General features: G+C 39.6%; 1 protein-coding gene across 16 annotated transcripts in view; it reads right to left on the bottom strand.

Moving 5' to 3' along the window:
- The window catches only part of MRRF (mitochondrial ribosome recycling factor), a 66,456-nt gene that overhangs the window by 38,894 nt on the left and 11,042 nt on the right, over window positions 1–16,520 (bottom strand). For 9 of the 16 annotated variants that reach the window (XR_007061372.1, XM_011519183.3, NM_001346339.2 and 6 more), the window contains 3 exons: window positions 11,846–12,001; window positions 7,157–7,275; window positions 604–695 (listed from right to left, as the gene is read on the bottom strand). Coding sequence is in view for 12 of the 16 variants with exons in the window: in XM_011519183.3 (XP_011517485.1) it covers window positions 604–695; window positions 7,157–7,275; window positions 11,846–12,001 (367 nt within the window). In the remaining 4 variants the exon portion in view is untranslated. Of the gene's footprint in view, window positions 1–603; window positions 696–6,277; window positions 6,406–6,497; window positions 6,665–7,015; window positions 7,276–11,845; window positions 12,002–16,520 lie in introns of those variants that run through there. The other 7 variants (NR_144421.2, XR_007061373.1, XR_007061374.1 and 4 more) reach the window with 4 other exon arrangements.

The following is a 16,520-nucleotide window of genomic DNA, read 5'->3' as shown; positions in this document are numbered from 1 at the left end:
ATAATTAACAATATTCTGTTCTCAGCTTAAAATTCTTCGACTAGCAAGGACTAATGTAAAAAAAATAGCTCTTCAAAGAATATAAGTTAGAGACTACCAGTGTCAAGGTCTTTTCAAACTGGAGGCCTTTCTGCTTGCTGTTCACGCTGCCCAAAATGCTCTCCCCTAGGCTGGTTCTTTCTCATCATTTAGCTCTTAGCAAAAATGTTACCTGCATAAAGAGTCTTCTCAGGCTACAGGTGCCCCTGCCACCATCATCCTTACCAAGTCACTCTCTATTGGATCCCACTGTCTTTTCTTTCCTCATAGCATTTCATTATCTGGAATGACTTTATTTATTTGTCCTACCTTCCCAACCAGAATGTAAACTATGTAAGGACAACAAATTCTCAAGCTTACTGCTGCAAACCTCACATCTAGTACATAACAGGCGCTCAATAAGTATTTCTGAATCAGTAAAGTGATCTCAAAAGATGTTTGCCAGGGTGAAAGGTACAGGTAAGGTATGTTATTGGCCTAACGGTATAGTAGGGTATTTGTTGGTTTCCTTCCAAGGACAACCACCCCGTTTCATCAAAATATGTGAATTTCAGCCAAACTTACTGGGGAATGGGTACCCGAATTAGCGTCCCTTCCACTTCTGGGTTCAGATTCATTCCACTTTCTCTTATAGCCTTGATAGCTGCAGCTGTACACTGAAAACCAGATCAAAAGGTAAACAGAATTAGTAAATAATTATTACCAGATGCAAGCCCTCTGTCGATAACTGGCAACCCATCTTGGCAGAACATGGAAACATTTAGTTCTGTTACCAGTAAGATCAGGAAGTTACATTGGTGTAGAGTGCTTTGATCAAGCTGAATAGCAAACTATGTCCACTCCTGGTACCACTGTACTGCAGGAGGAAAAAAAGAAAGAAGAAAAAATAAAAAGAAAACAGCTCTGCCTCTTTGAAAAGATTTCAATGGTTTGAGGCAACACAGATCAAAACCACAATAAATCCTCAAGGGAGGGGGGCTGGTCTCTGCAAAGATTGGTGTAAAGACAGATGAAAGATTTCATACGTAAAAAAATCCAGTTGACATTTTACACTCAAAATATACCAGTGCCGATTTGGAATGAGTAAATAAATTTAACTCATTCGCATCTGCACTCACACCAAACTCACTCATATTTTGGAATGAGCAATGAATCTCTGCTGGTATATGCTCCCGCAAAGGTAGTGTGGTATACTAGCTTAAAGCATGGGCTTTGGAGTCAGAAAGATCTCAGTTCACATCCCAGCTCTGGTAACCATGTGACCCTGGGCATATGCTTGACCTCTCTGAACCTATATTTCATCATCTGAGACCATGTGGTCCCTAAACCTCAGAGAGGTAGTGAAATAACATGAGCGATGCATCTTGCTCTGTGCCTGGGACATAGTAATACTCAGGCAAGGGCAGTTATATGAACATATTATATACATTTATTATATAAAGGTAAGAATGCATAAAACTCTCAAACAAGGTGGAGTTGATGTCTTCATGTAGCTGATGTACTGCTAACCTGCCCAACATCCTTCAGGGGTTTCTCTGACAGTTTGCTCACTAATGTGCCAGCTGGCACACTGGCACACCCATTTCCCAAAGTGCCTCACCTCACACTCAAGCAACATTATAACTATACCTTGTATGCAATCCTAGAGATCCTTTCATTGGCATGACAATGTGGAACTCATGAAAACAAAGCCTCTGACATTTTCAAAGAATTTTAGGCTTGACCGGAGACAATCCACATCACTTGGATTCAAAGGCCAATTCCTGCACTTGAGCTCCTCCTAGACTTTCTAATTTAAATGAATGGCGGTTGATATACACCTATTTTACTTTTCTGGGTTCTCTGCCCATAAAACTCATTCATTTCATTTTTAAATAACCTTACTGCTACGGCTACCTGAGGTGTTACTATAAGGTCACAAAGACAAACCAGAACTTCCACATACACATGAAGAATCCTCTTGGGAGGCTGTACACAGAATCTAACATTGTGGCCACTACCTAAAATAGTACATTCTTAAAATAGTACCTCTGGCCACAGATTATTAGAGCTGGAAGGGATTTCTGACATAACCAAGTCTCTTCATTATGTGAAGAGGAACTTGTAGAATAGGGTCACACCCCCAAGAGTAGACATGGTCTTCCCTGACAGCCCAAGAGAGATGGTTTGAGGACTCCCATCCATCAAACTTCCAGTTACTGGCAGAGTTAAGAGGAGACTGAATAGGGATTTAATCCAATGATGCTGCTCTACCTTTACTTTTTTCCAGATCCCCAAGCTCAATGCATTCAGTAATTATAACATTAAGGATTTGATTTTTCTTTTCTTTTTCTTTTTTCTTTTTTTTTTTTGAGACAGGGTCTCACTCTGTCACTCAGGCTTGAGGGCAGTGGCATAATCACGGCTCACTGCAGCCTTGACCTCCCAGGCTCAGGTGACTCTCCACCTCAGCCTCCCAAGTAGCTGCAGGAGGAAAAAAAGAAAGAAGAGCTGGGACTACAGGTCTGCACCACCATGCCTGGCTAATTTTTGTATTTTTTATAGAGATGGAGTCTCACCATGTTGCCCAAGCTGGTCTCAAACTCCTGGGCTCAAGCGATCCACCCACCTCAGCCTCCCAGAGTACTGGGATTTTATAAGCATGAGCCACCACGCCTTGCCTGATATTTTTCTTAAATAGCCAAATTTAATTTGGAATTATGTTTGCGGTATAAAGGTTATACTCAAGGTAATAAAAGAGCTGAAAAAAGAAATAAAATTAATTTTTCTCTGCAAAAGAAATGCCATCTTCCTTAAAAAAAAAAAAACAGATTCTAAAGTTAACAATAAAGAGAGAATCTCCATTGTGAAGGGGTAGTCCATTCTTAAGTCTTTCAATCCTCTACTATAGCTTCTCATGAATGACTGATAATCACTACTGTAACACCCCATCACCACTACCTCCCTTTCACAAGCTGACCCAAGTGTTTCCATACAACCTTCCCCTACAGGCACTAGGGCACCGACTACTGACACCAAGCTGGGCAGGAACTATGCTTCAATATTTACATCTTCCCAGTACAAGTTAGAGTGCCAGGTACATGGTAAGTGCTCAGTAAAAGCTTGTTGATTGAATATATTAGTGATCTGGTTCAGATGTATTAGAAAAACTCACTTCCTTTACCTCATGTATAAATGGCTCAAAATCTTATTTTATACTTAAACTTTTCTGTATCTTTTCATATGCAGAAAAATCATGAATCAAAGTTTCATTTTACAAAGAAACCTACTGAATTCTACATGTATTTTCCTTTGACATGGTAGGACACAGAACCTCAGGGAATTAGTCATGTTCTCATATGACATCTGAAAAACTCTTTAGTTCAGACTAAAGGGGCATACATTCCTATAGACTTTCCATCTCTTATGCATCATCCCTTCACGGAAAGGATGCTCGACAGTATCACAGGGCAAACAGGTTGCTCTCAAATGATGACATAACTAACTGGTTGTGGCTGCTTGGAGTAGAGTGTTGAGAAAAATCACAAATCTCATCTGGGCGTCAGGCAGAGAAGAGTGATGTGATCAATTAGTAGTGTCTGCCTTTGTTATTCTAAGCTAATCTGTGCTAAATAGCAACAACAACAAAAAAATAAGACTTTTGTAGACAGGTGAACAAGTCCTTGAGAATTTAAATTCAAGTCAACTCTGCTAGTGCCATATCAATTACTGGCCTTCCATTTTCTTCATATCCCAGTAAGTCCTTAGAATGTAGTCTATGAAAGTAGACACATAGTCTGTCTTAATAATCAGTGAATTCCCAGCACCTCAAATAGAAACTAATCACTTGCAAGGACTCAAAAAATATGTGCTGAATTAACAAACGAATGGTGAAAGGAGCACAGGCTTTTTCACATCCAACAGAGATATGTTCAAATCCTGGCTCTGTCACAACAGTGTAAACCTAGTGGAAATATTTTACTGCTTTGAGTCTCAGTTTCCTCATCTATAAAATGAAATAAATAATGCCTAATTTTACAGAGTACCTGTACTGATCATAGGAAACAAAACATGAGAAAGAGACTAGCAACAAAGCAGACAATCAATACACATTCATTTTCTTCCTTCCGCAAGAGCAATAATGGTGCCTGCAGAGTTGTGCGTGGTTTTTTATTTTTATTTTTTTTCATTTGGCTTGTTTTGTTCAAATCATGCTGTGGTTTTTATTCCCTTCTTTTCTTTCCCATCATTAACTCTAGCTGCAGGCAAGTTTATGGAAGGCAGCAACTATGTGTATCATTTATCAAGCAGGACACATGTTAAACAAATGCAACACAGTTTTCTGTCTTCAATGCATTCAAAAAGATCATGCATGTAAATCTGCATCGTGTCACTACAGCATGACACGGAAATGCTCAGGTTTGGAAAGAAAGCCAACTGTATGTGAAACAGAAATTACATAAACACAGGATTAGCTCAGCATTTTAAAGCTATGAACCTGGGTACTCTACGGTCAGCTTCGAAGCTGGAGGAAGGAAATCTTTAGTTAGAGCTATTTGTTTAATATATACAACAGACGAGATAAAGGAATTCAAAAGACAATGTAACTCACACTTCCTCATTCTGTTCCTGTAAATGAACCTCTCTACTGATATACTTGTAAGGATTTTTTCAAAACCCATGGAATTTCAACTTGAACAAATGGCAAAGATGTCTGAGTTGAAAAATGAAGATATACCCCAACTTCCTAAGAAAAAATTAAGCTGTTAATATCTCCTCCTGCTTCATAAGATGCTCTGGTGGCCAATCAGGTGCTTCTTCTGTGAATGCCATTTGCTATTTAATAAAAGAAGTGGCTGGCTCTGAAAAGCAATCTGCCTGATGAGGTCTTCAAGCTGTGTAATTAGGAGGCTATTCCCTAAATTGGCCCACAGTGCCTACGGGATTAGATGAACAAGGAGGAGAGGCCTCAGTGGTTCAGAGGGGCCCAGAAAGAGAAACAGTTGACAGTTCCCTTTTCATCAATTTCTCTGTTCCTCACTAACATCAGAAATGAGTGCCTCCCTTTTATCAACCTAATAACAGGTATTCATCCATTCAAGGAAAATTTACCAAATGGTGCCATGTGCCAGGCACTGTTTGGTGTTGGACACAATGAGCAAATTAGACATTCCTACATTCCAAGCTTACACTCTAGTAAAAGTGAGATGAAAAATAAATGTGTACACAAATGTACACTAGTAATAAGTGCAATAAAGAAAAAGAATTGTGCTGTATAGGAGAACTTAGTGTGGAAGAATAATTTAGATTGGAGAGGTCAGGAAAGGCTTCCTTAAGAAAGTGACGTTTAAGCCATGATCCAAAATATAAGTAGCAATTAGCCATGCAACAGTGTTCCATGCAATGGGAACAGGATATGCAAAGGCTCTAAGGATGCAAAGGGTTTGGTGTGTTTGAGGAACTGAAAGACCAATGTGGCTAAAGCATTGTACAAGGATGACAGTGGCACAAGACTGGCAAAACTGAAAAAACAGAGGCAAGATCAAGCAAAGCCATCTAGGCCATAATGAAGATTTTGGACTGTTTCTTGGCCACAGTGAGGATTTTGGACTGTTTCTTAAAGATTGCTAGAAGCCACCAATAAAGGCAAAGCATGGGAATGACAACTGACAAAATCTTTTATACATATATTTTTTTTTCCTTGTTTATTTAAGATACAAGGTCTTGCTCTGTCACCCAGGCTGCAGTGCAGTGGCATGATCATAGCTCACTGCAGCTTCAAACTCCCGGACTCAAGCGGTCCTTCCACTGCAGTTTCCTGAGTAGCTAGCACTACAGGTGTGTGCCATCACACCTCACTAATTTTTTTATTTTTGAAATTTTTGTAGAGCCAGGGTTTCACTATGTTGCCCTGGCTGGTCTTGAACTCCTGGCTTCAAGTGATCCTCTAACCTTAACCTCCCAAAGTGCTGGGATTACAGGCATGAGCCACCACGCCTGGCACAATATATATTTTTCAAAAACTCATTCTGGTTATAGTATGGAGAATGGAGTAGGGGAGTGGTAACAGCACACCCACAGGTGTGCCTGGCCCATTAGCTATCAGAGCCCTTTGATTTGAAACAGTGTGTTCACAGCAAGGGCTTTCCCTTTCTCCTATCTCTAGCCTAGTTTGTCAAATACAACAGGTCCAACCTTGGTCTATGACTTTGGAATACAACTACTGAAATAGACAATAAGAACAGGAGGATTCCTTCACCTTATATTAGCAGATGAGGAAATGGAGGCCCAGAGAGTGAAGCAACTTGCCCAAGGTCAAACAGCCAGTTGGTGGTAGAGATGGGACCGGATTCCAGGTACTCTAAGACTCCTAATCCAGGCCAATTCCTAGTGGACCAATAACAAAAAGCCCAATTACCTTCTTCAACTACACTTAAAATCATAAAGCTTCAAAGATGCAATGACCTAATACAACCCACCTTCCAGTTTTGGAAGCACTGTGCTCCATGCAATATTCTGCAATGGTCAGTCTAGTATAAAAGGACTTCCTGGAGGGTCTGCTCCAAATACTAATGCAGAGGTCACAAATTGGTGGCCCTCAGGCCACATTTGGCCCATTAAAGTATTGTTTTATTTGCTTCATAGTCTTTAAAAAAAAAACTCAATTAGTCATCAACATTTACAGAATAAAGATGTCACATAAAAATTTGTGTTACTAGCTTCTTCTGGAAATAAAAATCGTAGTATCAGGTAACACTGATTACCAGGCCTACATTGTGCCTGGCAATGATCAGCAGGAGCTGGGCAGAGGCATTCCACTCACACAAGGTACAGGCTCTCCAGCTCACCAGAGCCTTTTCACGCTGGCCAAGCACCAATCACTGCATCTCCAGTATTGTTTTTCTTAGATGGGACCCGTTTGGGTATTCAAACAACTTACCTAGCCTCTGTAGCATCTGAGTTTAACAGAAAAGGAATCTGGCAACAGGAAAAGAGCTTTGCCTTATCCTTAAGTTCTCTTTATTATGTCTTCTCTCTTGTTTCATCCTAAGCTGAAGGAACACTTCCTCCTGATATGACCCAGTCTCCTCCATTCCAAAAGAGACCACGGAGAGAGATTTTAGCAAGGCCATCTTACCTCTGGGAAGCTGGCCATATTCACCAAAATCAGCTGTGGCGACTTCATGGAGATCTGGCTAATCTGGTTTAAAGCAAGCTTCCCGTCAGCAGTTACCACAGCAATCTTGTCAAGGGATCCTAAAAGAAAAATTACAGAGTTTTAGAATTCCAAAGAACCTTAGTAGCCCCAAATCTAAGTCCTATCTAATTCAGATTCAGGTTGGATGCAGTGGCTCATGCCTGTTATCCCAGAGCTTTGGGAGTGAAGTGGGAGGAATGCTTGAGGGCAGTAGTTTGAGACCAACCTGCGCAAAACAGCAAGACCACATCTCTACAAAAACATTTTTTTTTAATTAGCAGGTATGGTGGCATGTGCCTGGAAGATGAGCTACTCAGCAATGAGGCTGAGGTGGGAGGATTGCTCAAACCCAAGAGGTAGAGGTTACAGTGAGCCGTACTGGCCACTGCACTCCACCCTAGGCAACAGAGTGAGATCTTGTCTCAAAATAATAATAATAATTCAGATTCAACAAACATTTAGGGATTCTTATCAATGTGACAAGAGTGTACAAGGGGCTTTCACAGGAACAGCAGTATCGTGATAGAAAAGCTTGAAATGTTGACAGAACTAAGTTGGAATTCATCACCAGCAACTAGGGTGGCCAACCATCCTGGTTTGCCTGGAGCTGAAGAATTTTCTGTGACAGGGCTTTTAGAACTAAAACTGGAAACAGCTGATCACCCTCACAAGCAACTCTGTCATTTACTTGCTATGAAACCTCAGGTGAGTTATTTATCTTCTCTGTGCCTTGGTTTCCAATTCAGTCAAAAAATAACTACCTTAGAGGATTAGAGTGAGGACTGTACCTCTTACTATCCCTTTTAGTCCTTACAACAACCCTGTAACACTGCATTATTACCCCCACTTTACAGATGAGGAAATAAGACTTGGGAAGAATAAACAGGCCAAGATCATAGGGGTAACAAGAGGAAAAACAAGAGCCAAGACCCAAACTCAGGTGTGCTTAATTCTGATTTCAGTCAAGGCTCTTTCCCTTACAAATGGAACTCAAATCCGGCTGTGCATCAGAATCACCAGGGAGCTTTGAAAATTAGATTCCTGGGCCCCACCCTGGAGAGATCCTGATTCTGCAGAGGCTTCGGAGCCTGTGATTTGGGGAAGCTTGTAATTTTTTTTTTAGGTTCACCACATTATTCTGACACAGCCAGATTTGGAACCATTTGCTTATACGACCCTTCATTTTGGTACTTAGATCCCCTTTAGAACTAGCCCATTAAACAAACAACAACAACAACAACAACAACAACAACAACAACAAAACTATTAACATTTTCCTATTATCCTGGATATAATCTTTATCTGCATCTAAATTCTGGAAAACCCTGGGAAAAATTTTCAAAAATGGCAAGAAGGCAAGCAATAAAGCCACAGTTACAGATGGAAAAGAGGCATTATTCAAACTCCCTTATTTCCCATGCAAATGAGAACTAGAAGAAAAACCTTACTATTCACAGTAGGAACCACTCAAGGATGGCTCATTCTGAGACACAAAGAGAAAAGGGGGGAAATGGAGTCTTAAACAAATTGGAGTTGTCCTGGCAATATGTTGTTAGAATAATGCAGTACCATACTGTGGCCCAAAGATCTGATTTGAGATACTCAACCAGATTCAATGTCATCATAAGACAGAAGGTTGCTGACAGCAGTGGCTTCAACCTGGAAAAGTCCGGGAGGTATAATGGTAAAAGTCTTTGTTATTCTGAAGACCAATTACCTGAGTTCAAATACCAATTCTGCCACTTTCTGATTGTGTGACCATGGGTAGACCCCCTTCAGCCTTCTTGGCCTGTTTCCTGATTTCTAAATGGGACATAAAAATTGTACTTATATCTCACCGGGTACAGTGGCTCACGCCTGTAATCCCAGCACTTTGGGAGGCTGAGGCGGGTGGATCACGAGGTCAGGAGTTTGAGACCAGCCTGGCCAACATAGTGAAACCTTGTCTCTACTAAAAATACAAAAAATTAGCTGGGCATGGTGGTGGGCACCTATAATCCCAGCTAGTTGGGAGGCTGAGGCAGGAGAATCGCTTGAACCCGGGAGAAGGAGGTTGCAGTGAGCCGAGATCGCGCCATTGCACTCCACTCCTGGCGACAGTGCAAGACTCTGACTCCAAAAAAAAAAAAAAAAAATTGTACTTATATTTCATGGGGTTTTTATGAATACTAAATGACAGAATGTAGGAAAAGCATTTAAACTGTGTCCCACTAAATGCTGACTATTATTACTTCTTGACATTCTGTGTTTTAATTTCTCTAATACACTCTAATATTCTCTAATAAACTCTGTTCTGTCTTGCTTCAGGACCCTTGCATATATTTTTCCTTCTACTGAGAACACTCTTCTCTGTTCAGATAAATCCTGCTCATTCCTTAACAGTCAGATACAGTGGCATCTAATCTCAGTAATCTTGTCTGATCTCCTAGGCTGGACTATAAACCCCTTTTACAAGCCCCCAGCATCCAAGCACATTTCCATAATAATAATTGCCTATATTTACTGAATACTTCCTATAAGCAAGACATCATGATAAATGCTTTCTATAATGTATTTGCTGTCAATATCATATTAACTCTATGAGATAGTTATTATTATTTCTACCTTATAGACAAGGACACTGAGGCATACAGAGTAACTTGCCCAAGATCACAACAGCTCTTAATGGAACCTGAATTCAAACCCAGGTCTGACCAACTCCAAGTCATTTGGTCTTCACCACTCAGCTTTGCTGTATAGTTTTATACATGTTGGTTTACTTGTTTGACCCTTCACATCAGGTTCTAGGCTTCTGGAAGGTGGGGACAATATATTTTCTCTCTGTATCCACAGCACATATTAATCAGCACAGAAAAAGTGCTCAATAATGCTTTGACGATAAATCAATGTATGCATGGACGGATGAAAGGGAAGAGGACAACAATGAATAAACAAATAAACCTGTATCTAGACAACTGTTAAAAGGTGTCAGTTATCTGGGAGATAGAAATTGCTGTGAGAAAGAGGAAAAGGTAGGGGGAAAAGTACCTGTTGGTTCAGATGGTAATGAAAGATAAAACGGAACAATCTGGCAAAAGAGACTAGTTAAGTTTAGTCTGTTTCACCCAGTCTCTTCATGGCCCCAAATTCTATACAGAACGTTAAACAAACATAATCCTGAAGAGAAAGGAAAGAGGAAATACCAACAGGAGGCCTTTTGAAATGGATCTTAATTCAGTCTTCCTGATTTGCCATGAGATCCTTTGCCACAGAAGTCCCAACACAGGCTTTTCAGAATGCAATTGTGGTGGTTACCATTCCTAAATCCGTATCGACATAATGCATCAAATCCTTTTCCCTCAATCTGTCCCCAGCGAGAATCTCCCTCAGCCTCATTCCTGCCCCTCATTTTCTCAGAGGTTAACATTTAACAAATTACACTCCCAACCTCTTTCCAGGCCCATCATCTTTTTAAGTTCAACAAGAGTGGAGCTTGCTGGCTAATTTTAAGTATCACATTTCTCCCTGAGCTCCTCTCAAACTGCTCTCTGGTTTCGGCTGCAGAATGTTAACAGGCCAGAAAACACAGGGGAGACAGAGCACTTTATCAGTTTCATACCTAAAATAATAAGCAAGTTTAAAATAAACAGTTGAGAGAGATTGAATGGCACGCTCTACTGTCAGCAAAGGCAGAAATGCCCCAGCCCAAAGGTTGACAAGTGACGGGAACAGTCTTCTAGTTTCACACTGGATCTCATCTCTGAACTCGGTAATGTTTCTGATAGTGTTTATAAGTGGAGCTGTATTTTTCACTTGGTTTTCTTAAGAGCGAAATATTTCTAGTTTTCTTATGAACTATCCTAATCAAGATGTGAGTAGAAGCAGCCCAAGCTCCCACAGGTACCTTAAGAGAGGGGTCCCAGGTTTGACTTTAGGATGATGACAATTTGCAAAAGCCTAATTTAACAGCAACTGGATTTTTCCTGCCTGCTTGCACCATCAGCTGACAACTCACTTCTCCATCACATCTGCAAACAGTTGGCCTAGACAGTTCTGACATTTCCCACTTAGAAAAGCCACTTTCAGGAAGTTATTAACCCAAACGGAATCTTCCTGGTCAAGCTCAGGGGTATAGAAATGCCTCACGTGGGCAGGTCTGTATTCATTTGGTTCCCAGTAAGGGATAAGAACTGCCAAACAGGACAAATTGGAAAAATCGGACCAAAGATGTCAGTTACTATGAGACTAAATACCTAGATGTGTTTATAGTACATTCATAATAAAAATCTCATTTTTCTGAGAGTCTAATTCCATGATAGCAAAGACAATACCTATTTTTGTTTACTACTATGCACTAGCACAATGCCTAGTTCCAAAGTAGACAAAAATTTGCAGCATGGATAAATAAATGTAGTGTTAACTATGCGCCAGGCACTATGCTAGAACCATAATACGTTACCTCATTTATTTTAACTACCACCCCAAAGCTGTAAGTTAAGAATCAAACAAGAAAACCGAGGACCAGAAAAGCAAAGTAACTGCCCATGGCCACCAGTTAGTAAATGGCAAAGCTGGGACTAAAACTCAACTCTGCCAAACCCATGCTCTTTCCATTACATCCCTCCCCAGAACATTGGTTCAGTCACTAACCTGGTGAGGTCCTTATATTGAGAGTCTTATTGAAATTATCCTTGAGAGCTTCTATCACAGACTTCATTTCTTCATTCACCTCTTCCAAGTTGATTATATCCTCAACCAAGGCAGCATTAATATTCACTCTGGTTTGGGACTGTCCTTTCCCTTTGGCTAAAAAGTGAACATTCAGTGAATAAAACAACAGCAGCATAAACAGAGCCAATAAGCAATTGGTGAAGAAGTACCTACTATGTACAGGGAAAAATGTCAAGTGTTAGAAAATTATAAAACATTATCGCTCCACTAAAAAAGAGCCTATATTAACTGAGTGTCAACTGTGCTAAACACCTTCTCAGATACTAGTGAGGGGGCACACTTTATAATCAGACACCCCAGGTTAGAAGTCTGGCTATAATGCATACTAGCTTTATGACCTTAGGCAAGTTATCTTTCTGAGTATCAAGTTCCCTACCTGTAAAAGAATAGTAACATCTATATTGCAAGGTTGCTACAAGGATACAAATTAAGTCATTCAAACACCTAAAAGAACACTATACACATGGCAGGGAATCCATAACTAAATTAATCCCTTACTTTTCAGAAAAGTAAACAGAAGATGAGAAAGGTAAAGCTATTTGCCTAATGTCACAGGTCAGGAAATGGAAAAGTCAAGATCTGGTTCCAGATCTGCCTAATTTTAAACCCATGAACTTTTCACTAGCCCATCTCCACAAAATCTAATTAGAGAGACAGGAAATACATTAATTCATTAAAAATGGACACTAAGACAAGGATATGCACACAATATCTGATGGCTGGTAGAGTACAGACAAAAGGAACAATAGTAGTTTACAGACATTAAACACTACCAATGGTAGAGACAATGGCTTATATTTTAGAAAATCAACAGCATTGGGAGCTGAATATAATTTCATTTTATGTCTAAATCATCGTAGTGATTTTTCATATACATTCTAGGTGTATACATAGATAATTTCTGTGAGTGATGCAAATATTCTTGCATTTCTTTTATAGGGAATGGGGAAGGAGAAAAACAATAAAATTTTAAACAATATTTACACTGTTTATTCATTAAACATTCAACAAATATTTATTGAGATTCATTAAATAAATTTTGTTGAACATCTACAGTGAACTCAATCCTGTACTATTTGGGTGGCATATTATAACTTGCAATGCAATTTCAAGTACATTCTCCTCCTTGCTATCCAAGATAGCTCTCTGAGGTAGGAAGAATAGTGATTAGTATTGTCCCCATGGTACAGATGAGAAATCTAAGGCACAAGCCATTTAAATGTTTCGTCCAAAGTAAACAACTGGTAAGCAACAGAGTGATTTTTAAAAACATTTATTTGCCCATGTTACCATTATGCTTTGAAACCAATGGCTTAGGTTTTTTTTCAGAACTGATAGAAGATGTGGGGCTGGGCGCAGTGGCTCATGCCTATAATCCCAGCACTTTGTGGGGCCGAGGCAGGCAGATCACGAGGTCAGGAGTTCAAGATCAGCCTGACCAAAATGGTGAAACTCCATCTCTACTAAAATTACAAAAATTAGCTGGGCGTGGTGGCGTGTGCCTGTAATCCCGGCTACTCGGGAGGCTGGGGCAGGAGAATCGCTTGAACCCGGGAGGTGGAGGTTGCAGTGAGCCGAGATCAGTGCCACTGCACTTCAGCCTGGGCGACAGATCAAAGAAAAAAAAAAAAGATGTGGATCTTCGGATTGAGAAACACAAGTTTCAAATAGGACAATAAAAGTAAATTCACACCTAGACATGTTGTGACTGCAGAAAACAAAGGACAAAGAGATCTTTATAAACGCCCAAGAGAAAAGACAAATTATCCATGAAGGATTAAAACTTAGAACACTTTCCAAGAGCAACAACAGAAGCCAGAAGCAACTGAAATAATATCTTCAACTTTGAACTTTTAAAACCAAATATGCACATTAATAATTTAAAGATATGCCTGTCAATATTGGAATGAATAGTAATATTTATGAATGAAATACTATGCAACCATGAGAAAGAATGAACACACACAAAAATTTAAATGAGTCTCACAAACATGATGTTGAACACAGAGGCCAGACACAAGAAAACAAAACTGTACAGTACAAAGGCCAGATATGAGAATATAAACTGAAAAGTAAAAAAAAAGAGAAAACGAATCCATGCTACTAGAAGTCAGAATAATAGTTATCTGCAAAGGGTCAAGGGTAGTACTTACTAGAAAGAAGCACAAAGGGGACTTTTGACATGCTAAGAATGTTCTGTTTTTTTTATCTGGGTGCTGTAAGTGATTTCAGCTTGTGAAATTTATGACAGCTGCACTTTCCTACAGGGTTTTTTTATTTCTATAAAAAGGTTAAAAAATTAGTTAAGGGTAACCATCAAAACAATAATAAATTAAAAGTATATCTTCCAAATCAGCAGAATTTAAAAAAGAGAGAGAGAGGGATAAAGAAATTTAATCTAATGGGAAAAGAAGAAGAAAAAAGGAAAAAAAGGAATATTTCAACACAGCTAAAAGAACTTTAAATGTTCCCAACACATAAAAATGATAAAAGCTTGAGATGCTGGATACCCCATATACCCTAACTTAAATCATTTATGCATGTAACAAAACATCACATATACCCCATAAGTATGTACAAATATGTATCAATAAAAAAAATTTTTAAATATGCATTTAAAAAAAAGAAAAAAGGAAAAAACATGATATAAAGAAAGTCCAAAATAAGGCCAGGCGTGGTGGCTCATGCCTGTAATCCTAGCACTTTGGCAAGCCAAGGCGGGCGGATCACCTGAGGCCAGGAGTTTGAGATCAGCCTAGCCAACAAGGCAAAACACCATCTCTACTAAAAATACAAAAAATTAGCTGGGCATGGTGGCGTATGCCTGTAGTCCCAGCTACTCGGGAGGCTGAGGCACAAGCATCACTTGAACCTGAGAGGCGGAGGTTGCGGTGAGCCGACACTGCACCACTGCATTCCAGCCTGGACGACAGAGTGAGACTCTGTCTCAAAAAAAAGAAAGAAAGTACAAAATAAAATAATAACACAAATATGCAGTGACTACAATAAATATAAATGGATCAAAATGACAAGTTAAAAGTGGGAGATTCTCAGTAAGATTTTTAAAAATCTAGCTGAATATAACATAACGGTTTTTAAAAATTATAAAAGATCACAGAAAGTTTGATGTATAGGGATGGAAAAATTATAAGCCTGGCAAACATCAGTCAAAAGAAGGCTGGTGTAGCTACATTATCATCAAACAAAAAAGATTTTAAGACAAAATTCACTATTGGAAATCATGAAGACAACTTCAAAATGATAATAGAAACAATTCACCAGAAAGATATATAACAATTCTAAGATTAAATATATCAATAAGATAGCCTCAAAATTAATACAATTAAAAGAAGAAACTGGCTGGGTGCAGTGACTTACACTTGTAATCCCAGCACTTTGTGGGGCTGAGGTGGGCAGATTGCTTGATCCCAGCAGTTCAAGACCAGTCTGGGAAACATTGCAAAACCCAGTCCCTACAAAAAATACAAAAATTACCAGGCATGGCCGTGCGTGCCTGTAGTCCCAGCTACTTGGGAGGCTGAGGTAGGAGAATCAGTTGAGCCCAGAAGATTAAGGTTGCAGTGGGCTGTGATTGCACTGCTGCACTACAGCCTGGGCAAGACCCCGTCTCAAAAAACAACAAAAAAGGAGAAACTGATCAATCTACAAGCATACTAGGAGAGTTCAATATACCTTCCTTGATAACCGATAAGTAAGCAAATAAAAAAACAGAAAAGTTGATCAATAAAATTAGTCAATTTGATCTAATACAATACACCCAAGAAAAAAAGAATACACATTATTCTCAAGCACACTTGGACCTTCTATGAAACAACCATGTTTTACACACAAATCAAATCTCAACAAAAATAAAAGAATCTATATCATATAGAACATGCCTTCTGAACAGAGTAGAATTAAGCTAACCCCAAAACAACCATTTGTTTGAAAAACTTTAAACACTTCTTAATAAACACTCATGGGCTATAAAGAAATGCATAATGGAAATGTTTAAATATTGAGAAATGACCATAATAAAAATATTCAATGTCAAAAACTCAAGTCAGACACGATGGCTCAACACCTGTGATCCCAGCGCTCTGGAAGGCCAAGGCGAGAGGATCACTTGAGCCCAGGAGTTCAAGGTTACAGTGAGGTATGATTGTGCCACTGCACTCCAGCCTAGGCAACAAAGCAAGACCTTATCTCTAAAATAAATAAACAACCTTATAGGAAGCATTTAAAGTTGTATTTAGACAGAAACTTCTAACCTTAATACTTTAAAAACAAAACAAAACAAAACAGGCTGGGCGTGGTGACTCATGCCTGTAATTCCAGCACTTTGGGAGCCCAAGGTGGGCGGATCACCCAAGGTCAAAAGTTCGAGACCAGCCTGGCCAACATGGCGAAATCCCATCTCTACTAAAAAAAAAAATACAAAAATTAGCTGGGCGTGGTGGCAAGTGCCTATAGTCCCAGCTACTTGGGAGGCTGAGGCAGGAGAATTGCTTGAACCCAGGAGGACAAGGCTGCAGTGAGCTGAGATCATGCCACTGCACTCCAGTCTGGGTGACAGAGGGAGACTCCATCTCAA

Source organism: Homo sapiens, chromosome 9 (genome assembly GCF_000001405.40).
Source record: "Homo sapiens chromosome 9, GRCh38.p14 Primary Assembly".
NCBI classification, from domain to species: Eukaryota; Metazoa; Chordata; class Mammalia; order Primates; family Hominidae; genus Homo; species Homo sapiens.
This window is presented reverse-complemented; position numbering and strand designations above follow the sequence as displayed.